The 25,213-nt window shown below is 37.9% G+C and overlaps 1 long non-coding RNA gene and 1 pseudogene across 2 annotated transcripts in view, besides 1 other annotated feature; both read left to right on the top strand.

The window, feature by feature from the left end:
• Window positions 10,983-11,419, top strand: SOD1P3 (superoxide dismutase 1 pseudogene 3; annotated as a pseudogene).
• Window positions 11,905-11,954: a silencer, noted in NCBI's record as "silent region_19520". NCBI's record gives its function as "represses an Ori minimal core promoter by ATAC-STARR-seq in GM12878 lymphoblastoid cells {active_cell/tissue: GM12878}" and the evidence as "EXISTENCE:reporter gene assay evidence [ECO:0000049][PMID:35858748]".
• LINC00861 (long intergenic non-protein coding RNA 861) overlaps window positions 12,080-25,213 on the top strand; it is a 28,675-nt gene continuing 15,541 nt past the window's right edge. The window contains exons 1-2 of one of the 2 annotated variants that reach the window (NR_038447.1): window positions 12,080-12,363; window positions 17,095-17,344. This is a non-coding gene — a long non-coding RNA (long intergenic non-protein coding RNA 861). Of the gene's footprint in view, window positions 12,364-17,094; window positions 22,149-25,213 lie in introns of those variants that run through there. The other variant, NR_038446.1, reaches the window with a different exon arrangement.

Raw genomic sequence — 25,213 nt, 5'->3', positions numbered from 1 at the left:
TGACTTTGAATAGAATGCAAGGCAGATTTCCCCTAAGCAGTTCCCAGCTTGAATTTTCCTTTTAGCTTAGTGATTTTGGGGGCTCAAGATATTTTCCTTTCACATCCCAATATGTTCTAGCTACATTTCTCGCTCAACATATCTAGGCAAACTATGCCTCAATCAAGCCAGACTCCTCATTCACATAATATTTCATGCACTTTTCTTCATCTTGTTTTATTGTATGGTTTTCTTCCAGAGCCTGGAATATTCTTCCTGCTGTCACAGCGTGTCAAAATTTATGTTTTCTTTATGACCTAGTGAAAATGTTTTCAACACCCTCAAATTCTTTTCTACCACTTTCTTAGGACCCCCAAGCTTAAATGAATTACTCTCTTCTCTGTCCCCTCCACACCCTCCCACACTCACATCTTGTTTGTGCTATTGAAACTCAGCAGGAAGGCAGCAGAGGATAGGGGTGATAGCTCACATTTGGAGGTTGCCTGCTGGGTTTAAACCAAAGCTCTGCTGCTCACTGGCCTTGTTACCTTGAGCAAATTATTTTATCTCTCTCAGTTTCCTCAACAATAAAATGGGAATAAAGATGGTGTCAAATTATAGCATTACTATGATAATTAAATGACTTTATTATCTGACCCATTGAAAGTGCTTTGTAAGCATTCTTCAATGAAATAAAAGAGCACTGATCTCCTGAATCACTGATCAGAGGTTCTCCAAGCACGACTAGCAGCATCAGTCCCACCTAGGAAAGTACTAGAAATGCGAATTATCAGGTCTCATGTCCAGCCTACTGAATCAGAAACTCTGAGCATGGGACCTAACAGTGTAACAATCTCTCAGGATGATACCGATGCATGATCAAGTTTGAGAACCACTCTATAGATGATCTCTAAGATGTCTTTCAGCTCTCACCACCTATGGATTGATTACAATCCTCCTGTTCAGTCATTGAAAACTGGAATATCCCATTTGAAGGCAATTTTAAATGATTGGAAAGGGAAGTAAGGAATTAAGTCAAGAAATCAAAAGTGAAAAGGGAAACAACGTATCTATTTGCAGGAGAGAACAAATGAGGCAAGAGGAAAAATAACACTTAGAGGAGGAAAAAAACAAGGGTTTTTTTTCTTAGTTCTTTCTTTTCTCATAAAAGCAAGTAGCCTCACATAGACTAGTGATCTAAAGATTTATTGATAAGTTGTTTTTATTTCTATAATCACATTAACAAAACTCTCTTTCCTTCTTAACTTTTCTTGACTTGGGAATTGCATCTTTGGGGCAAGAACACTGAAAAAAATTTGTTTAAAAATGCAACCAACTTAGTGTTTAATCACTCAACATAAATATGTGTGAAAAACTAAAATAAGACACAAGATGGGTTGCAAGTAGCACCAAGCAGCAAAATAGTTCTTGGCAAGGCTGAGGTCATGCAGCAGAGACTGTTGCCAAAACAAAAGGCATTCTGAAATATTTTAGAAGTACAAAAATGTACAAAATAAATATCTATGTATCTAACAAGAAGCTGAAGAACCTTCATGCACCCAGATATTCCTACAATTGGTTTTCAAAGGATGAAAAAATATTTATGTATTTAAAATGCTGTGTGGCTATTAAAATTAATTTAAAAAGCATAGCACAGGGCTTATCACAATAAATGTCCACTCCCTCCTTGTGTCCCTCCTTTCAAAATGTGCAAACAAGCTGTCTGGCAGTGGGACTTCCAGACTGAAATATGCCTTTGCAGGTAAACTTTGGGATGGTGAAATTGTTACAAGTGAATAAAAACAATTACTGCTGTTGTATTCTCCAAATGAAATAATGTATTCTTACAGGGGGTGTATTTTACCCTTTAATAAATAAAGATTTGTGTTAAAAATGCTTTGGAAAGCTCTCAGGGATAATTCCACTATTCATGTGAAATATTACAGATTCTGAGGGTGAAAAAATGAATGCTATTTAACTCTGATGATTGTGAATGTTTTTGTAAGCATGAGGGAAAAATATGGCCATGAAAGCCTACAGAGAAATTAAACAAACATGTAAAATCAACTAAATATAACTTCCACGTGCTCTTTATTGATTTCCCTGGAACTCTGGCTTCATAAGATAAAATAGAAAATGTAAAAGGTTATCTGGATTTTCTCCCTTCTTTTCTTGGTTCATCTTGCTATTATTGGTCTATCAATTTTATCTTTTCTCAGCAAAATTGGCATACAAGGGACATACCTCAATGTAATAAAAGCCATCTATGACAAACCCACAGTCAACATAATACGGAATGAGGAAAAGTTGAAAGCATTCCCTCTGAGTACTGGAACACGACAAGGATGCCCACTCTCACCACTCCTCTTCAATATAGTATTGGAAGTCCTAGCCAGAGCAACCAGACAAAAGAAAGAAATAAAGGGCATCCAAATCGGTAAAGAGGAAGTCAAACTGTTGCTGTTTGCTGACAATATGATCGTTTACCTTGAAAACCCTAAAGACTCCTCCAGAAAGTTCCTAGAACTGATAAAAGAATTCAGCAAAGTTTCTGGATACAAGATTAATGTATACAAATCAGTAGCTCTTCTATATACCAGTAGCAAACAAGCAGAGAATCAAATCAAGAACTCAACCCTTTTTACAATAGCTGCAAAAATAATACAATACTTGGGAATACACCTAAAAAAGGAGGCAAAAGACATCTACAAGAAAAACTACAAAACACTGCTGAAAGAAATCATCAAAGACACAAATAAATGGAAAAACATCCCATGCTCATGGATGGGTAGAATCAATATTGTGATAATGACCATACTGCCAAAAGCAATCTACAAATTCAATGCAATCCGCATCAGAACACCACCATCATTCTTCACAGAATTAAAACACACACACACACACACACACACACACACAATTCTGAAATTCATATGGAACCAAGAAAGAGCCTGCATAGCCAAATCAATACTAGGCAAAAAGAACAAATCTGGAGGCATCACACTACCTGATTTCAAACTATACTGTAAGGCCACAGTCACCAAAATAACATGGTACTGGTATTAAAATGGCACATAGACCAGTGGAACAGAATAGAGAACCCAGAAATAAACCCAAATACAGCCAATTGATCTTTGCCAAAGCAAACAAAAACATAAAGTAGGAAAAGGACACCCTCTTCAACAAATGGTGCTGGGATAATTGGCTAGCCACATGTAGAAGAATGAAAGTGGACCCTCATGTCTCACTTATACAAAAACCAACTCAAGATGAATTAAGGACTTAAATTTAAGACCTGAAACTATAAAAATTCTAGAAGATAACACTGGAAAACCCCTTCTAGAAATTGGCTTAGGCAAGGATTACATGACCAAGAACCCGAAAGCAAATGCAATAAAAACAAAGATAAATAATTGCGACCTAACTAAACTAAAGAGCTTTTGCAAAAGGAACAGTCAGCAAAGTAAGCATTCAACCCAAGTGAGAGAAAATCTTCACAGTATATACATCTGACAAAGGACTGATATCCAGAATCTACAATGAACTCAAACAAATCAGTAAGAAAAAAACAAACAATCCCATCAAAAAGTGGGCTAAGGACATGAATACATAATTCTCAAAAGAAGATATACAAATGGACAAGAAATACATGAAAAAGTGCTCAACGTTACTAATGATCAGGAAAATGCAAATTAAAACCACAATGGGATAACATCTTACTCCTGCAAGAATGATCATAATCAACAAATAAAAAAACAGTAGATGTTGGCATGAATGCGGTGATCAGGGAACACTTCTACACTGCTGGTGGGAACGTAAACTAGTACAGCCACTATGGAAAATAGTGTGGAGATTCTTAGAAAACTAAAAGTAGAACTACCATTTGATCCAGCAATCCCACCACTGGGTATCTAACCAAAGGAAAAAAGAGTCATTTTTTGAAGAAGATACTCACACACGCATGTTTATAGGAGCACAATTCGCAACTGCAAAATTGTGGAACCAGCCCAAATGCCCATCAGTCAATGAGTGGATATAGAAATTGTGGTTTATATACATGATGGAATAGTATTCAGCATAAAAAGGAATGAATTAACAGCATTTGCAGCAACCTGGATGAGATTGGAGACTATTTTCTAAGTGAAGTAACTCAGGGATGGAAAACCAAACATCGTATGTTCTCACTGATATGTAGGAGCTAAGCTAAGAGGACACAAAAGCATAAGAATGATACAATGGTCTTTGGGGACTTGTGGGGAAGGATGGGAGGGGAGTGAGGGACAAAAGACTACAAATAGGGTGCAGTGTATACTGCTTCAGTGATGGGTGCACCAAAATCTCACAAATCACCACTAAAGAACTTATGTAACCAAATACCACCTGTACCCCAATAACTTAAGGAAAAATCAAAATAAATAAATAAACAAGAAAATGTAAAAGACATAATAATGTTTACTTTCAAGGAGCAACTTTCAGATGAAAGTCATTGTGCTAAGTACTTTATAGATATTAATTTAATATTTATAATGATTCAAGTTGGTAGGTATTATGAGGCACTTCTTCTAAGAAAATCAAGCATAAGAGAGGTTACATGACTTGTCCAGAGTCAGTGTTAGGAAATGGAGGTGTTGTGGTCTAACTCCTGTATTTTAACCAGTGGCCACTCAGAGTATATTGCCAAAAACTGAGGACCCCTATTCATTTAGGAAGCAGTTGACCAATAGATCACTCATATAGTCCAATCTCTTCATCTCAGGGGTAAGGAAACTAAGGCTACAACGGGAAAGGCACTTCTCCAAGGTTACAGAGCTTAGGCTAGCACGTAGGATTCCTAAATCTGTTTACCCATTCTCACTTCCTCTGCCTCACTGGTCGAAATGGAATGGATCTTCTTTCCCTTCAAAATCTGGTTATGTGTTCAGCCATATTCTAGGTCCAGAAAGGAGAGTGTGTATGTGTGTGTGTGTACACATAACATGTACAATTTTAAAAGATTGTATCTTCCGAACAAGAACCACACTGAGGCGCACACGGTAAATGCATACGTTCTCCATCTAACAAACATTTACCCAACACCTGACTCAAACTGTTCCAGTTGTGTCTGGCTGCACCACAGGGTCATTTGAGGAATTAAAAAAAAATACCAAAGCCAGACCACCACTCAAGATACTTTTACATATTTTGGTCCAGGGTGGGACCAGGACTCTACATTGCCTCAGTTTGTACATATTATAGGGTTCTCAAAACTAACATGGACACAATAGCTCCTCCCTTCATTCTGTCTCTGTAACTCAAAGAAACCCAAGTGAACCCTACTCAGATACAAATCTCTTGCATCTCAGTAAATAGCACCACCAGGTGGCTCAGGCCAGAAACTAGCATTTATTCTTGATTCCTCTTTTTCCTATCCATCTATATCCAATCCATCAGCTTGAGTCAGATGTTGGGTAAACGTTTGTTAGATGGAGAAATGCATACATTTACTGTGTGCATCTCAGTGTGGGTTCCCGTTTGGAAGGTACAATCTTTTAAAATTATGCATGTTATGTGTACACACACATACACACACTCCTTTCCGGACTGTTTCTCCTGCCATTCCTTCAAGTCTTTGAGGGCTCAGAGCTCCTCTCTGAGCAGGTTGAGCTGCAGACAAATTACACCCTTATGAAGGGTTTGGCTGCTTTTTGAGCTCTCACATTTTTCAGTTATATTCTTCCCTTCTATCCTTCATGCTTTTCTCATAATTGGCCTATCTACACAAGCATTTTTGTGGCCCTAGAGGAGAATGCTCTTCTCTGGAAAAAACTGAGAAAGTTTCATTACTGTATAATCTCCATCACTTTTTAGCCAAACAAGAAATGTGTAGTTTCAACATTGAAACAAGTCAAGCAGACGCCTCTGATCGGTCTTGAGTCCGATCTATCTGGATTATACTGTCACAAAGAAAGGGCACCTCTTTGGCCTGCCATACCTTAACCTCATTTGCAGTGGTGTGAACAGACCTCACATTCCAGGGCTGTGACCTCACATGTTGGGAAGAGTCAATGGCCAATAACAATTTAAAAGTCGGAAAGCCATAGATGGTTTTCTTCTTTCTGATGATCACACAGCAGTTACAGTACTTCAAAGTTTGAGCTTTGTATTTTAACCAAGAAATAAAAGTATTCTAGAGTAGTGCTGTCAAATAGAAATAAATATGAGCCAAATATGGAACTTGAAATTTTCTAGCAGCCACATTAAAAATAGTAAGAACAGATGAGATTAGTTTTAATATTTTATTTGTCCTAATACATCAAAAATTATTACTTCTGCATCTAATATAAAAATTGTTAATGAGATATTTTACTATTTTTTGATACTGTCTTCAAAATCCAGTGAGCATTCTATGCTTATTGCACATCACAATTTAGATGCTAGGTTTACAATAGTTTAAGTGAAATATACTTCTACCAAAGCAATAAAGTTACATTTAATGGAAAATAATTAAAATTAAAATTTAGTTTCTTGGTCATGCTATCCACATTTCAAGTGCTTAATAGTGCTGGGTGGCTTGTAGACACCATATTAGACAGCTCACCTTTAGATGCTAGAATATGGCTTTTATGATTTTTTATTAATAGTATTAAGGACCTTGTAAAGTATCCAGTCCTTATTAAATTGAATTCTTACTAATTGATAAAATTATTTTTAAAACCACTGAAACAAACAAAAGAAAGAAAAATATGAAGTATGGAATCAGAAAGGACAAGTTTGTTTTACATCTCATAACTCAAATGTTCTTATCTGCCAATGAAATGTTAAGTTCTTCAGTACTACCCAAAGCGTATCTGTGGACAAATGATTCAAGAGCAAGCAAATGTGGGAAATGCTGCATACAAATCAATCTCACCAGATATTAACACAACAGACTACTATTATCTTTTTCATTCATGGATCAGAGATTCAGAGCAAGCTTTGTCTTATGCTATGTGCTCATCTTTGGTCTACAACTATCTTTCTTCTTTCTCTCTCTGTTTCTTTTGTCAATGCAATTAGCAAGTATGAGCCCACAACAATATAGAAAATGCAGAACTTTAAAGTAGCTTACAACTTTGGCCTAAGGTAATCATTATTCCAGCCAAATCCTATGCTTATGATTATGATTTCCTTACTTTCACTCAATAAATATTTATATCACGTTTTAGCAAAATGTGATATATAATTTATTACACACACAGAGTCATAATATAGTGAGTTATCATGTTATATATAATTTTGAAACCTACTAGACAGAGTCAGATGGAAAAATCCATAAGATATCTCCTCAATCTTTGTTCAAGCCTCTATCATCTCTAAATCTATCTCTAGACTATTTTATTAGTCTTTTAAATACATTTTGCCTAACTTCAGTCTTTTCTCTCTTCAGTTCATCTTCCATACTACCTTAATAGTCATCTTTCTAAAATACAAACTTGACCATGTAATTCCCCTGTTTGATACCTTTTAGAGATGCCTCAATCATTAAAAAGTAAAGTTCGAATTCCTTATAAGATTGTGTTAGACTTTTTAAAATTTCCATAGTTTTCCTATTCCAGTAGACACCACTATACTGCAATGTGACTTCGCCATTCCTGTCATCATTCCTGGGGCTCTTTCTGCATTCTCTTTAATCTGGGCTAGCTTTTTAACTTGCTTTGATTAACAGAATGTGGCAAAAATGACAATTCAACTTTTTTTAAATTTTTATTTTAAGTTCTGGGATACAAATGTAGAACGTGTATGTTTGTTACATAGGTATACATGTGCCATGGTGGTTTGCTGCACCTATCAACCCGTCATCTAGGTTTTAAGCCCCACATGCATTAGCTATTTCTCCTAATGCTCTCCCTTCCCCTCACCCCCTAACCCCCAACTGGCCCTGGTGTGTGTTGTTCCCCTCCCTGTGTCCATGTATTCTCATTGTTCAACTCCCACTTACAAGTGAGAACATGTGGTGATTGGTTTTCTGTTCTTGTGTTAGTTTGCTGAAGATGATGGCTTCTAGCTTCATCCATGTCCCTGCAAAGGACATGAACTCATTCCTTTTTATGGCTGTACAGTATTCCATGGTATATATGTACCACGTTTTCTTTATCCAGCCTATCATTGATGGGCATTTGGGTTGGTTCCATGTCTTTGCTATGGTAAAATAGTGCTGCAATAAACATATGTGTGCATGTGTTTTTATAGTAGAATGATTTGTATTCCTTTGGGTATATACCCAGTAATGGGATTGCTAGGTCAAATAGTATTTCTGGTTCTAGATCCTTGAGGAATCACCACACTGTCTTCCACAATGATTGAACTAATTTACATTCCCACCAACAGTGTAAAAGTGTTCCTATTTCTCCACAGCCTCGCCAGCATCTATCGTTTCTTGATTTTTTAATAATAATCACCCTTCTTACTGGTGTGAAATGGTATCTCATTGTGATTTCGATTTGCATTTCTCTAATGATCAGTGATATTGAGCTTTTTTTCATATGTTTGTTGGCTGCATAAATGTCTTTTTTGAGAAGTGTCTGTTCATATCCTTCACTCACTTTTTGATGGTCTTTTTTTTTCTTGTAAATTTCTTTAAGTTACTTGTAGATTCTGGATATTACACCTTTGTCAGATGGGTAGATTGCAAAAATTTTCTCCCATTCTGTAGGTTGCCTGTTCACTCTGATGATAGTTTCTTTTGCTGTGCAGAAGCTCTTTAGTTTAATTAGATCCCATTTGTCAATTTTGGCTTTTGTTGCAATTGCTTTTGGCATTTTCATCATGAAGTCTTTGCCCATGCATATGTCCTGAATGATATTGCCTAGGTTTTCTCCTAGGGTTTTTATGGTTTGGGTTTTACATTTAAGTCTTTAATCTATCTTGAGTAAATTTTTGTATAAAGTGTAAGAGAAGGGTCCAATTTGTTTTCTGCATATGGCTAGCCAGTTTTCCTAGCACCATTTATTAAATAGGGAATCCTTTCCCCGTTGCTTGTTTTTGTCTGGTTTGTAGAAGATCAGATGGTTTTAGATGTGTGGTGTTATTTCTGAGGTTTCTGTTCTGTTCCATTGGTCTATATGTCTGTTTTGGTACCAGTACCATGCTGTTTTGGTAACTGTAGCCTTGTATAGGTTGAAGTCAGGTAGCGTGATGCCTCCAGCTTTGTTCTTTTTGCTTATTATTGTCTTAGCCATACAGGCTGTTTTTTGGTTCCATATGAAATTTAAAGTAGTTTTTTCTAATTCTTTGAAGAATGTCAATGGTAGTTTGATGGGAATAGCATTGAATCTATACATCACTTTGGGCAGTATGGCCATTTTTACAATATTGATTCTTCCTATCCATAAGGATAGAATGTTTTTCCACTTGATTGTATCATCTCCTATTTCCTTGAGCAGTGGTTTGTAGTTCTTTTTGAGGAGGTCCTTCACATCCCTTGTTAGCTGTATTCCTAGGTATTTTATTCTCTTTGTAGCAATTGCGAATGGGAGTTCATTCATGATTTGGCTTTGCTCATCTATTGTTGGTTTATAAGAATGATTGTCATTTTTTCACACAGATTTTCTATCCTGAGACTTTGCTGAAGTTGCTTATTATCTTAAGGAGTTTTGGGGCTCAACTTTAGTTCCTTAAAAGTGTCTGGTCATATCTGATCAAATAAGCATCATTCTCAAATATGACATCCAGGCAAAGCCTTGGTTGTATTACCAATGTTTTTGCTTGCATCCTGTTAACAAGGAGGACAGACTCTTATGGTATCTATGCAAATAACTATATTGCCATGAAGATAACAAGACTCAATGAGAGTTTCCAGATTTGGAATGGGTGAGTCAGGGAAGAAAAGAAAGAAGTTTCATTTCTGTTTACAAGAAATTAGCATAGTCTATAAAATTGTTTGAGCGATAACTTAAGAGAAAAAGAAAAGAAATTCTTACTTCCAAAAAATAGAGCAATAAAACCTTAACAATATTTCAAATAGAAATCATAATCATCTGCTCATTCAGTTCTATAAAATTCACTCTTCTTCCACCTGATCTTGTGTTGTTTCATGAATGCATCTGCTTCTCAACTAGACATCTGCAACTCCTGACTCAGTCCAATGGTATGATTTCATAGTTGTTTAAACAATGCCATCAGAAATCTGTTCCCCAGAGTATATGGCATGATCCTTTTCCACCAGACTCTAAGATTGTTCCTTTTTGCTGAAGATAGAACACCTTAGCCTATAATTGATTGCAAGGATTTTATGGAAACATCAGTGTAAAACAGAACAAACAAAACTATCAGTAGATGACAAAAGTCTAAAAATGGCTATCATGTACATATTATTGATAATTTTCAAAAGTGAATAATCTGAATAGAGTTCATTATAAGAATAATGCAATTGACAAACACATCTGGCTGTTTCTGTTGTACAAAACAAAATAAATTCAATCCAAAAAACATTTTAGAGAAAATATCTATCAACACAATGTATTAGCAATATTTTCAAAGAGGCTATATTACATCCAATTTATAAAAATGCTTATATATAACCTTACAAAGAAAACATTTTCATATATAACATAAAAATCCTGAGACATTAGATGCCACAAATACCTAGCACTTCATTAGAATTTACTAAAAATATATCAAAGTTATCAAGTAAATAGAGTCAGTACATCTGAAGTAGATTCTAAACATTAGAGTATTAATAAAAATGCATAGATAAGTGAAGTGAATCCTCAACGTAAAACTACCAGCCTAGCATATACTGGTTCCAGATAAAAGAAGTAAAGTTGCAACCAAGTTAAAGTTTGAAAATATAATTAATTATGACTGATAACACTATACTGCTTTTATCTAACAACAAGCAAAGCGACCCCAGGACTCTGATAAATAGAAATACATCATGGACAGTGAAAACATTAACAATTCTGGCGTTTGTGTTGTCATCTCTTATAGCACCTCCTGTTTCCCTGGCAATCCTCAGAACCCAGACAGGAGCGTGGCCCCATCAGTGCATGCTGAAGGGCGAAGGGCTGGTACCGAGAATTATCCATTTCAAGCAGAAGGAAAATGGACCAGTTGTGGTGTTGGGACACATTACAGGATTGCCTGAAGGCCAGCAGATGCCATGTTCATCAGTGTGCAAATAATATACAAGGCTGTACCAGTGCAGGTCCTCACTTTAATCCTCTATCCCCAAAACACGGTGGACCAAAGGATCAAGAGAGGCATGTTAAACACCTGGGCAATGTGACTGCTGGCAAAGATGATGCAATGATGTGTCTATTGAAGATTCTATGATCTCACTCTCAGGAGGCCACTCCATCATTGGCCATGCAATGGTGGTCCATGAAAAACCAGATGACTTGGGCAAAGATGGAAATGAAGAAAGTACAAAGATGGGAAATGCTGGAAGTTATTTGGCTTGTGGTGTATTTGGGAATTCCCAGTAAACATTCCCTAGGATGAGGTCTGAGTGCCAGTAACACATGTGTTATCCTGCTAGCTGTAGAAATGTAACTTGATAAACATTTAACACTGTAATCTTAAAAGTGTAAAGAAAAAAAAAACACACACACATTCACAATTCTCCAGAAACTTCTTATGTAGAATACAGTTTTAAACATGTTTATGTTAATGACATTTTACCCACACAAATTTAATCTATGCAAACCTGAGCATCTCTTCCGATTGGACAATGCTTCCTAGACATCTTGTCAATGATAACATATCAAACAATCCTAACTGTTTCCAATTCTTGTCTTTTCCCACGGTGAAAGAACACATCTTTGCAACTTTCCAGAGGTCCTCTGGGAAATCTCAAAGGCAATTTTGGGCACTGAGGAGGCTGAGAAGACTGTGCTTGACTGTTAGCTGAAACAACTTTTGGCTGTTTGGCAGAGGACTAACAGGCCCTCTGCTTTATGTGAATTTCTCACTTTAACTTGTTTGCTCCATTTTGGGTGCAGACCCAGCCCCATGTGCCTGACCACAAACCAACATTTCCTGTCTCAATTCTCCTATTCATATAACGTTTGAGGACGTTTGTTAAGTTTTAAGAATTCCCTCCCACCCCCAGATTTTCGCAGGGTTTTGTTGATTTCCCCTCAACTTTCCACAGGTATCTTAAAAGCTTTGCTCACTCATCCCTTCTCTGACTTAGGATTTGAGCATCTTTCTGTTATGCTGTTGCCCCACTCCTATTGCAATACTCCCCTTCTTAAGAAAGTTTTTCTAGACTAATGTCTAGATTAAACTTCTTTTCTTTGACAATAATGATGCCATGACTTGGACAAAATGCCCATTGCCTCTGGGTCCTGCTTTCTTCACCCAGTGCTGCCTTATTGGACTCCTTGTGCCTCTCCTTGGCTGGGGAAATCAGAATACACAGTGGTAAGTCATGATTTCTAATCCAGTGCTCCAGACGTCTGTCTGTTGTAGCACAGTGAGAAGTTGACTTATATTTCTCTCATTTTTGTCATTTTCTTCTGTTTTTCCATCTTTCCCTTCTGCCTTTTTTGAGTGTGGTGAAAGCCCCTCATTCTCTCCTGAGAATCATACCTGAGTTGAAATCCCAAAGCCTCTAGCACCAGCAGGTGTCCCTTCCATTATCATGAGAAACCGTCAATTTGGCTGTTGTTCTCCAGAACCCTCAACTCTGGGGTATGCTCTGTGTTACTATGGTAATAATTCCACCCACTTTCTTCCAAAAAAAAAAATGGCAATATTTTACAACTTAAATTTCAATGGCCTCTTTGGAGAACGTAGAATTTTTCCAAATTGCCTCATTCTGCGAAGGGCAATTGAATCCTGTGCCACCAAGATCTCATCCAAGCAATAGATGCTTTGTTAGTGGTGGTGGGCATTTGGTACAAAGAGGCAGAAAAAAAAAATGCTCTCTCTCAAAAACTTTTCAGTGACCATTGCTTCTTTCAAAGACAGTCATCCTTCCCCAATCTGTGACCTGTGTCTTCTCATCACCTATCCCCCAATCTCTCTTTTCTACCATCTTCCATGTTCCCTTCAGCTCCCTTTAATCCTTGGATCTTCCTCTTTCAACCCTCTATCTCCTCCACCTTTCCATCCACTCCTGCCAGACCTTTCCTCTCCCACTCTGGCCCCTCAATTCCTTATAATCCCTTGAGCTTTAAGTCCTGTCCCTTCATGGGAGGCTCTAGAGAAGCCCAGGGGCACTAAGAGCAACAGCCTGAGGCTAAAAAGGCTCACCGGAAACAGGCTGAATGTTTTATCCCCTCAGGTGGGCTCTGGAGACACCAGATGACCGCTTGGTCTCTCCTCCATGCCTCCCTTGAAATTGAGTCCACAGCTTCCCTAGAATTATACACCAGAGCCAAGGGTAGCTTATGGGTCTCCTACACAAATATTGGTGAAGATGCTTCAGTTCTCATACTGAACAGGTTACTTCAACTTGCCCCATCTACCAAAAATATTATCCTTGTAAAAATATAAACGTGAGGCAATGATGATACTTTGTTTGTTTGTTTATTTGTTTGTTTTTTGAGATGGAATCTCACTCTGTTGCCAGGCTGGTGTACAGTGGTGCAATCTCGACTCACTGCAATCTCTACCTCCCAGGTTCAAGCGATTCTCCTGCCGCAGCCTCCAAAGTAGCTGGGATTACAAGCACATGCCACCATGCTCAGCTAATTTTTGTATTTTTAGTAGACACTGTGTTTCACCATGTTGGCCAGGATGGTCTCGATCTTCTGACTTAATGATCTGACCGCCTTGGCCTCCCAAAGTGCTGAGATTACAGGCATGAGCCACCGTGCCCAGTCAATACTCTGTTTTTTTATATGAATCAGTGAGTTTTGCATTTCTGTGATTATGCCTAAGTCATGGCTAAAATTTAAAAATTAAAGCTGTAAGTTGGCTATGTCTGCCTATATGTTTATGTATGTGTGTTTGTGCATGTGCACATACATTTTGTTTGTGTAATATTTTCCTACCTCCAGATGGTATTACCACATTAAATTATAAAACGCCTTAAATAAGCTCCTTCTGGATTGTCTTAGAGATGAATGAGAGCCTACATAAGTTAAGTATTCTTGAACTTCCTTGAAATTAGGAAAATCAAATTTCTAATATCATCAATGTGAAAAAAGTATTTTTATAAAAGCTTAACAAAGTGTTTAAAAATTCAAGTTCACCTAATTTAGATAAACCTTTGGCCATTGAGAGTAGTTTAATATAATTGATTTAATAAATATAGCTATGTCTTCTGAGTTGTCCACATGGTAAGAATACATTTTTGTTCTACTTGAGTATTTTTTTCCTAAACCTATACAAATATACTGAATCTCTTTGCTTGATAATCTAAATATATTCTTGGTATATTCTAACTATATGTTTGATATATTCATGACACATTATGTCTCATGATTATCATGTTATTTCTTTTTTTTTTTTTTTTTTTTTTTTTTTTTGAGATGGAGTCTCACTCTGTTGCCCAGGCTGGAGTGCAGTGGCACGATCTCGGCTCACTACAACCTCCGCCTCCCAGGTTCAAGAGATTCTCCTGCCTCAGCCTCCCGAGTAGCTGGGACTACAGGTGACTGCCATCACACCTGGCTAATTTTTGTATTTTTAGTAGAGACGGGGTTTTACCATGTTGGCCAGGCTGGTCTCCAACTCCTGACCTTATGCTTGTGATCCGCCTGCCTCAGCCTCCCAAACTGCTGGGATTACAGGCATGAGCCACTGCGCCCAGATAATCATGTTATATCTGAAAATGTTTTCTCTATAAAAACTATGCCCATCCACTTTCATAAATTTGATGTAATATCCACCCTTTTTTGAAAATAAAATTAATTATTATGTTTACACATATTTTCTCTGAAACTTTTTGTAGCAACTTTAAGTGCCATAACGACAATTAAATTTTTCTGTCAATGTATTATTTTTATAGCAAACTTTCATCAGATCTTTTACTTTCAAAAATTATCAAAAATATGTTAACCACAGCAATTTTAAGTCTTTTGTTATCTATGGAGGACTTTGTTTCCACAAAAAAGGACTGACTCAGAAGTATGTGGAAAAGGATTATGCTAGGTGCTGTTGTGTTAAAGTTTCTAATTACGTTGTTTAAGTAACTTTGGGACCAAAACAATGAACTGAGTTAGGAATTCCAGAACTCTAGTTGAAAAAGAGATGGGTTCATAAGCCTACTAATCCGGGATCAAGTGGGACAAGAACTAATTCCACAGGAGTGAATGAACTGATGATAGATAATTATGGGACTTTTTTGGAATAGGGCTATAGGGCTATTCCTTTAATGTACTATTTTCTTTTTTTTTTTGAGACAGAGTTTTGCTCTTATGCCCAGGCTGGAGTGCAATGGCGTGATCTCAGCTCACTGCAACCTCTGCCTCCCAGGTTCAAACAATTCTCCTGTCTCAGCCTCCCAAGTAGCTGGGATTACAGGGTAGTGCCACCACACTTGGCTGTTTTTGTATTTTTAGTAGTGACGGGTTTTCACCATGTTGGCCAGGATGGTCTCGATCTCTTGACCTCATGATCCACCCGCCTCGGCCTCCCAAAGTGCTGGAATAACAGATGTGAGCCACCACGCTCGGCCTAATATCCTATTTTCTGGACATAAGAAAACCCCTCCTCTTTTTTTTAAGCTATTCATCACTCATAACAATTTCATAGACCATGCTAATTTCTTGTAAACAGAAATGAAACTTCTTTCTTTTCTTCCCTGACTCACCCATTCAAAATTTGGAAATTCTCCTTGAGTCTTCTTATTTTCATGGCAATATGGTTATTTGCATAGATTCAGTAAGAGTCTGTCCTCTTTGTTAACAGGGCACAAAAACATTGGTAATACAACCAAGGCTTTGCCTGGATGTCATATTTGAGAGTGACGCTTATTTAATCAGATATGACCAGACACTTTTAAGGAACTAAGGTTGACCTTATAGGGCCAATGCTTACAAAGCTCCTCTTGCGAAAACTGGCTTGAAACCTGGCTTTGCAGGGTTTGCAGCTTTGCAGGTGAGCAAGGAATGTCACTTCCCAGCAGGCTCTGGAATCTTAGGATATTTGTGGGATCTCAAGAAGAAAGGAATGCCTGCCAAATCGATAGGTACTGCATGTGAAATCTGATGTGAGTTGTTGGCTTGGCTTCTTATCCTCAAGAGGCTTTGAAAAGTCCAATTTGACATTCTTTATGAAAACTTCCAGCAAAGCAAATATAATATGATCTATATGTAAATTGCTGCTCTTGCAGCACCTATGCAAATAACCAGGCCGAATCTCATGAGACCAACCTTAATTTGTGATCAAGAATAATCTTTCTTTGAGATTGTCTTTGATCAAAAGAGGAGGAGTAACTGTAGAAAGAAAATTTGTGTTTCCATGGGAAATCATAGCACATCTTTCTGGATTATCAGATTCTGATCCTGTTAATTTGTGTTTGAGCTATTTAGTGCCTCTTGGTAAACTGAGAGTAACTGATAGTTATGCAAACTCTCTCTTCTCTAGTAGAGATTTAATTGACTTTCTCTCACACTATGGGACAATCAGTTTTTGTAACTACTAATAAATTGTACTTGAATCTGTTATCTTGCACAAATTGTCCACTTTTACTAAATTTTCAAATCTTCCAATTTCCCTCAATATCTAGCCATAAACCCCTCAACTAACGTTCCAATTTTTCTCCTTTTTTGTTACTCATAGTCACTGAGAAAACTTTACTATCCAGATGACAGTTAAGACCCTAGGTTGCCTTGTGGCTGGCCCCCAGTCTCTGAAGTATTACTACAATCTCAAGTCTGATGACTTGTTATAAACATATAAAGACCCATCATTGCTAGCAGACTATGCATGGTTCTCTTTTTCTCTGGACAAGCCCTGACTGGACCACAAAAAAAGGATGGGAAATGCTCAGGTCACGCATGTTCTGATAGAAGAGGTAATCCAGGCTCTGGGCAACATTACCAAGAGCATCAAAACGCTCAAAGAGCAATGCTACATGATCAAAAGGGCTCATCCACTAACCCCCTGAAATCCCCTGAAATGGATACCCTTGGGTTCAACTTCTGTCTTTCTCAGTTTAATCTCTCTTTCTATATTAACATTTCTCTTTTTTCCTTTTAGGTATCCCACTTCTAAGATGCCTGATCTGAAGGACAGTAAAACAACTGACCTTTGCCAGCATGTAAAACACATGGTTTAACTAGTCCTCCAGGAACAACACTGAGCAATCCTGACCTGGGACTACTTTACTCGGCCATCTCCTACTTGAGATGCTCCTTGTCTCTCTGTTCAAGGACACCTTTTCTGAGCCTTTCTTGAACAAGAGTGGAGGACCGATAGGGCGATTAAACTGTCCTTGACACAACTTTAGGTTGGTTTGCCTAAACTACTAGGTTCTCAATCTATATGAACCTCCTCCAGCATTCTAATTTGTTTGCTCTGTCTTAGACCCAGAATCCCACCCCATGTGCCTAACCATAGACCAATCTTCCTGCCTTAACTTCTCTGCTACCAATTTTGATGTAGCCCAGTAAGTTTCAGCATCATCCCTCACCACCCCACAGTCCCTCACCCTGCCCCCACCCCCACCACACACACACATACCAGCTCTTAGCATCAAATCCCCTTCCATTTTCCATAAGCATCTCTTCCCAGGTCTCTGCATATAAAAGCTATGTTTGCTCACCCCATGCCTGAGACTTTCCTGGCTTAGATCTTGAGCATCTTTCTATTATAAGATTCTCCCTTAGTAATGATTTCCTCACTTAACTTCAGATTTGTACATTTTTTTTTCATTGACAGTGCAAAAGATACCATTTAGGATTTGATTTTCAGAAGGTAAAATATAAAACATTGTCAGGAAATTCGAATACTTAATTAAGTAGGATAATGGATTACTGAGAAATAGTACTTGGTTATCTATTTAATCAAATGATGTAAAATAATTTTAGAGTAGATATAGGAGGTAACATAATTGCAAAGAACTTCATCTCTTTTATATGAAGACTGTTCTCTTAAATAATCAAGGACTCGAAAAAGTCAGCACAAAGCATGGAAAATTATTCTGATGAGATTCTGAATGTTTATCTTCTAAGAAGATTACTCAGAAGGTAAAGAAAAATATTTTACAAGCTCTTACTAAGAGAATACACTAATCCAAAAAAATTATTTTAATAGAGAATAAAACAAATTCTAGTTTTGCATCTGCATATTTGATACTAATGCTTATATTAAACATTTTGTAAACAAACCCATTAAACTTCAGCCAGCTGTGACTACAAGAAATAAAATTTCCTATCCATGAACCTTCTACAGCTTTCTCTATCTAGTTAGGGTTTTGTAGGGTTTTGCCCTACACTTTCCCCTTTCTCATCCTGGAATAACTACTCATTTTACTTCAGAAAAAAATTACTCTTGTTTTCCTTAACAAAAAAATATCCTGCATACCTTGCACTCAAAATGTTCCTTTCTGCCACAGTCACTTCTACTAGAGTCTCATTCATCTTATTGACATATATTGATTATAACTTTTTTTTTTTTTTGAGACAGTCTCGCTCTATCACCCAGGCTGAGTGCAGTGGTGTAATTTTGGCTCACTGCAACCTCCGCCTCCCGGGTTCAAGCAGTTCTCCTGCCTCAGTCTCCTGAGTAGTTGGGATTACAGGCGTGCGCCACCATGCCCAGTTACTTTTTTTATTTTTAGTAGAGGCGGGGTTTCACCATTTTGGTCAGGCTGGTCTCAAACTCCTGACCTCATGATCCGCCCGCCTCGGCCTCCCAAAGTGCTGGGATTACAGGTGTTAGCCACCGTGCCCGGCCTTGATTATTTTTAACTACGGTAACTCCTATTGCATAGAGAAACTTTGGAGGTAGTATAAAAGAAAAGTTACTGGATATGTATTAAAACAGCCAGATAGATCTTATTCAAACTGCTGCAGTAGGAGAGAGAGGTTTCTGTATGGAACTGAGCTCAACTTCTAATACAGCAAAGACAGTTGTGGATTTATAGCCAAGGAGTAGAGCAAGGTGGTAAGCAGATGGAAATTTACTAAGAACTTACCTAGATATCAAAGGTAGAGGGATTCTTGCTAAACTGGCTTAATAAAATTATTTTAAATAATAAAACTGTTAATTAATAAAACTATTAATAATAAAACTACTTTCTAAAACTAAGATATCCAGAGTGGAGAGTGAGAAACTTGATCAAATATCCAGTAGTCTAATATCAAGAATTAGTAAATTCTTGATAAATTCGCTAAGCAGGAATCTTTACTAAAACTCGGCTGGGCAGGCCAAGGTCAAAGTCTACTTAGGAAGAATGCTCCAAGGAGCCTAACTCAAGTTTGGTCAAGGGAAGAGTCTTTTTCAGTGGATAATTGTGAACTATTTTCATACACACTATTTCGTAGCAGACTAATAGATCTTATGAATATACATCTCATTATTTTTGCAGTAATAAACATCCCTATAATAAAACTCACTGTAGCAAAAAATAAACATGCTCATTAACACACCCAAATATATAGGCTCTCCGTATTATATAAAAAATAAGCAGCAAAAAGTCTACAAGCAGAAAATTATACTTAGTAATTAATGCTTCAGTATTTTATTATAGTTAGATAATCTAGGTATCTAATGAATGCCCATTAATTAACCAAATTTAGCATCAGTCTAAAGTTTTATGTTATCAAAAGATCTTGGTCTTGAGCCAGGATGACACACTATAAAATGTAATTAGTTACTTTTGAATTAACATTTGTCAAAACAGTGATTCAATTTAACTAAATGCAAATTTATATTTTTATAATTATAAACATATAGTAACTAAAATGATAGATTATTAAACCAAGAAAGCTGTATAAGCTGAGGAAGAATGTGCATAAGTAGATTAAAATGTATGCTTGTGTAATACCTAATACTGAGAACTCAGAAGACATAACTGTTTTAATTAAACCAACAAAATAAAGCTAGTCTCATTTGCCAAAATTTACCTAAATTATGTAACTTAAATTCTTAGAATATTCAAGCTAGTATCTATAAGCATATTAAAAGTAGAAATGCAATTATCTTAATTTCCAGAAATTTTTGAATATTTTATTTATATAAGACTTTAGTTAGTTCTAAGTCAATCAGAAAATAGTACCTTTAAAAATTTTGATAATCTAATTTAGTAATACCATCTGGAGGCAGGAAAATATTACATACCCACAGACACATAAATATACATACAGATCTAGAGAACTTATCATTTTAATTCTAAAATCTCAGCCATAGACCAGGCATAACACAGAAATACATAACTCACTTGTTCCTATAAAAAGGGCTCTTTTCGTTCCACTGGGTAGAAATTCTTGATTGAGTTCAAAATAGAGAAAAAAATAGACGAACAAAAATAACAAACCCAATTTTCTGGCATCTTTCTGACGTAACAGAGACACAATATCTGCAAACCATTTAATTCATTTACAGAGATTACCAAGTGACCACATACACACACACACACACACACAAATCCAGCACTAGAGATCAACTGCATACTCAATGAAAATTAAATTCCTACCATGCTACCAACAGACAAGAGTCTGGAACATTGAATTAGGAATAGGGCTCACCTTTAGGTCCCTGTATTGCCAGTCACAAATGGAGCATGAAGGCTCCAAGTGTCCTTATTACCTGGGTGGAGCAGATGGAGATCTGAAGGCATGGTCCCATTTTGAGTCATGGCAGCAATCCTGTCAAAGAAACAGACAAGTTAAAAGATTGCTTTTATTTGGGCTATTGCAATAGGGAAACCACCCTTATCTGAAGATGATGGGAATGGCTCAGCCTCTTAGGCAGTTTGGCTTTTATAGGGAGGGGTAAACAAATGCAAATGATGTGGTTTAACACTGTGGTCAGTTGCAAACTGCAGATGTCACAGTTTGTTAACTTTCCAAAACATTTGGAGATGTTTTTCTCAGTAGTGGTTGTGGTTTTTCTTAGTAAGCTTCGGAGAGCAGAGATTATCTCAGCTAATCAGCTATGAGACAAAGAACAGGATGTAGATTTTTTTGCTTTGTCAGCAGGTTTTGTCAGCAGATGAAAGGGGACAGTTTGTGGTAGGTCTTGTCACACTTGACCAAAGATCTTCTAGAATAGTTTCACACAGAGATAACATCAAACAGAAAAACCAGAAACAGGAAGGGGGCTGCGGTCATTCCCACCCCCACCCCCCACCCCAAGTAAAGCTAAGAGGCTGAGGCATACCTCCTTGCAGCCTAGCTCACTTACTTGCATGTGATGCACTTCCTTCCCATGCCTGCCTGTCCCAACCCCACCCCACCTTCTTACACATAGCCTTTCTTGCCCTGTGAATACCCATTTCTACACCTCTCTATTTGCACTGATGCTGACTCAATCAGTGTGTCACCTCATCCCTCCAAGGCTACTGTACTACCTTCCAAAATGGCTGCCTTCGTTCCACTCTTTTTTCTCACAATTTAGTTTCCACAGAGAAGCCAGAATGAACAAAAGTGAAAATCTGATTTTGTTACCAACCTGTTCAAAATTTTTCTGTCTCTCCCTATTGCCCTTCAAGGAAAGCCTATGCTACATAGCACAACATTCAAACCCTTCATGTTCCAAGTCACCCCCTTTTTTTGCCAGCCCTTAGCCAACTCTACATTCCAGCTGTGCAGAAGCTCCAGCTGCTTTCCTACACCCCCTGCAATTCTCTATGTCTAGGACTTTGCTTGTGCCTTTCCTTCACCCCCTGCAATTCTCCATGTCTAGGAATTTGCTTGTGCCTTTCCTTCCACCTCCAATGTCCTCCCTCCAACTGGCTAAGTCCCAATGTATGTATATAAGAATTTAGAGGATACCTCTTCTGGATTTATCCCAGGCCCCAACTTCAGCCCCCAGCCTTCCCCATCACCTTGAAGCTGAGTCTGGCTGAAATTCCTCTATTCCCTACCCTTTCCAGTCACAACACCTACCACACTGTTTAGCAAGTTCCTCCTTCTTTTTCTGTCTCAGCAGCTAGACCAGGAGCTCCCTGCAGGTCAAGACCATGTGTTCTCTGATGCTTTCTCATGGCAAGGGGAGACATAGGGTTGCAGTAGTGAGTGGGCATCTGTTCTCAGAAGGCAGTGCCTGGAGCACTATAAGTACTTAATAAACTCTTGTGAAATTAAAAAGTGGGTGAATTCACCATTTGTGTTTAAAATTGTGCAATACACTGGATTTACAGAACACATCTCAAATCCTGTAGAAACAAGACAAACTCATATAAAGCAACTAGCAAAAACTGAAGACTCTAAGAGGTAGAATATGAAATAGAATGATTTATGTTAATCAATTGTGTTACATCTCATGAAACCTAATGAATGTTAGAACATGGTAACTAGCCACTCTGGGGGTCTGGATATTCACTTATTTTAGGATTGACTTTTTTAACTCAAACCCAGGAGAGAATTCCTCCTTAAAAGCTAATTCTTGGGATACCTTCTGAGCAAACCCCATACTGAAATCAGTTTCATTCCTTTTTAATTAACCAATGTGAACATCCTCTTGGCTTTCATGACTAATGGGATGTATTCCTCAAAGTCACATCCACACTCACAACTATATTGGCTCCCACACAGTACTCTATGCATGCCCAAGGCTTGATAGATACTGCCTGACTTGGTGACTTGCAGAACAGCTGTACACCACTTCTGGGAGGGTTATGATTTCCTTAATATGAGTCTTGGTTTTTTTAATCTCAAATGTATCGTCTGCAATATCAGTCAATATTGTTAAGATCATTGTCACAATTTTTAAAAAAAGTATGTATCCTTACTAACCATATTCATAAATATGAGTTACAAAGTGTAGAATAACTTCAGAAGAAGCATACTCCAAAACTGCAGAGTAGTGTTGTAGGTAAATTGCCTCTTATAGACACTGCATCTCAGTAGAGGGCACTCAGGGGACTAGGAAAGGTCTGAGGTGGAAAATTCATGGTTTAATTTGGGTTCCCCCAGAAGAAGACCCTGACACAGGATTATTGCAAATAGATTTGGAATGGGATCCCAAGAAACATCAGTAGGGGGCTGGAGAAAGAGAGAGGCAAGAAAAAGAAGCTAAAGGGGAATGTCATTGTAGGAAACAAGGTCTCAGTCTCCAGGAGATGGAGCAGAACAGCCTCAGAGATGACTCACCTGAGCAGTAAGAAATATGAAATATTTAATATAACAATTTCCATTAACTATTAGTTGACAGCTGCCCTGAGGATATTAATTCCCTGCGTTTCAGCCCACCTAACATCAGAGCAAACATATTATCATGGCAGAGGGAGCTCCTAGGTAGAAAATCATGGATTCTTGTAGTACAAAGAACATAGACTCTATTATATTTCAGCTGAATCTAAGCTGTTGCATGTGTAATAAGCTGTCTCAGCTGATAGGCAGGCAAAAAAGAATTATGAATTTATTTAGCTTCATTAAATTTCTGAAACACACCATCCAATAACTGGGTTTCCAAACTCGTTCTCAGAATGTTCATTCACTCCTTTTCTACCTAAATGAGAACAGTTACCTCAAGCGAATTAAACATGCAGATTCTGTCCTTTAAGCTTTCATTCAATCCATATCCAATGCATGTTTCTTGTAGGTCCAGAAGCAGATCCTGCTGCAGGGATCCCAGTATAAATGATGTACTAAGGATGTTCTCTTATAAGAAGGCAGACAGGAAGCAGGAGACGGAAGGGAAGAAGCCAAGCAGATGTGTGATTTCTCAGGAAGCTCCAACTGCAGCCTGGTCTGCAGAAGGCTCTGAAGTATAAAATATACCCTAGGGGTGGTCCTGACTTAAAGGAGCTGGGTTATTCTATTCCCAATAGACAATCAGGCATTGGAAACATTGCCCTGAAATACTCTGGGTGGGACACATTAAGTTTGTCTCATCTGTCACAGCTTCTTACATTTTCAGGTTAGTCACAATTTCTAGGAGAAAATTTATAAACAGAAAAGTTAGTGGAAAAAAGTCATCTGTTGTAGCATTTAGACCTGAGGCCGTAAGTGATGGTCATCATCCCTCTTCTCTGACACTGTTTTAGATTCCTCATGAAGCTTTGGCTAGTGCCTCTGTCAGTGTGGGTGACCTTCCTGGAGGGGCTACTAAAACCACCATCCCTGAGGAGTCTCGGCCCCTAGTTACCACATTCTATCAAGCCATAGCATGATAATTCTAAGAGATGCCCCAGTAGGTTTCCTAAGTGCAGAACATTTTGTCTGCTCCCCTTATATAGCAGCAACGCCTTCTCATGGTCCTGGCAACTCAACTCTTTCATGCCATCTCCTGCTGCTGAGCATCCACTGAGTTTCAGCTCAAGATCTCACCTCTTCCATAAAACCTTCCCTGGTCCTTGCATTCCTCAATGCCTTCTTGTCCCCATAACTCAAAGAAGTTCCTGCTTATGCCTCTTATCTGGCCTGAATCGCATTCTGCATTGTAATTCCTCATTAGAGAATTTTTATTGACCTTGGACTATGCAATTTGGTTGACTTGTGAGTGTATGTGTTGTCTTTTTATGGGAACCTGAGCACCTGAACAGGGTTCTACCCCACACTTCACGGGCTGCCTCCAGTGCCGGATACAGGTTGCTGTGCATCCCCAGGCCTCAGGGAACTCACCATGAATTAGCAACTGAACAGCTTACAGAATATCATCTCTGCACTGTAGAACTAATTGTGATTTTTTCTTATCATAAGTCTTGCTTCCAAGAGTTCTCTAACTTATTTAGTTGTCAGTGACACTCATTATCATTCAGGCCACAATCGTCTTTCAAAAAAAACCCAACAGCTTTCAGAGGCTTAACCATATTATATTTTAAAACCAGCCCTTAAAAGCACATATTTCTAGATGCTTTATTATTAATCCAAATTGTGTGCAAATGAATGCCATAACTTTCCCCTACGAAGGACAGGTGTTTCGTTTTTTTTTCTTTTTTGGCATTACTCAGACCTTGAGGTTGACAAACCTACTTTGGGGACATTGGGTATTTGTGGAGAAGGCATAGAAACATTTACATAAAGAGGCAATTCAAACTATGTTGAACACCTTTTGGGTGCCAGGAATTGCCCAAGAGACTTTACATAGACTGCATTGTCCAGAGGTTTTTTCTTCTCTTTTTTTCTGAAACACATATGTTGGAGTATTTTGAGGCATTTTATAGCCTCTTGTGGGAGCTTAAAGAGACAGGAGGAAAACTCATGTCACT

Source organism: Homo sapiens, chromosome 8 (assembly GCF_000001405.40).
Source record: "Homo sapiens chromosome 8, GRCh38.p14 Primary Assembly".
Lineage (NCBI taxonomy): Eukaryota > Metazoa > Chordata > Mammalia > Primates > Hominidae > Homo > Homo sapiens.
This window is presented reverse-complemented; position numbering and strand designations above follow the sequence as displayed.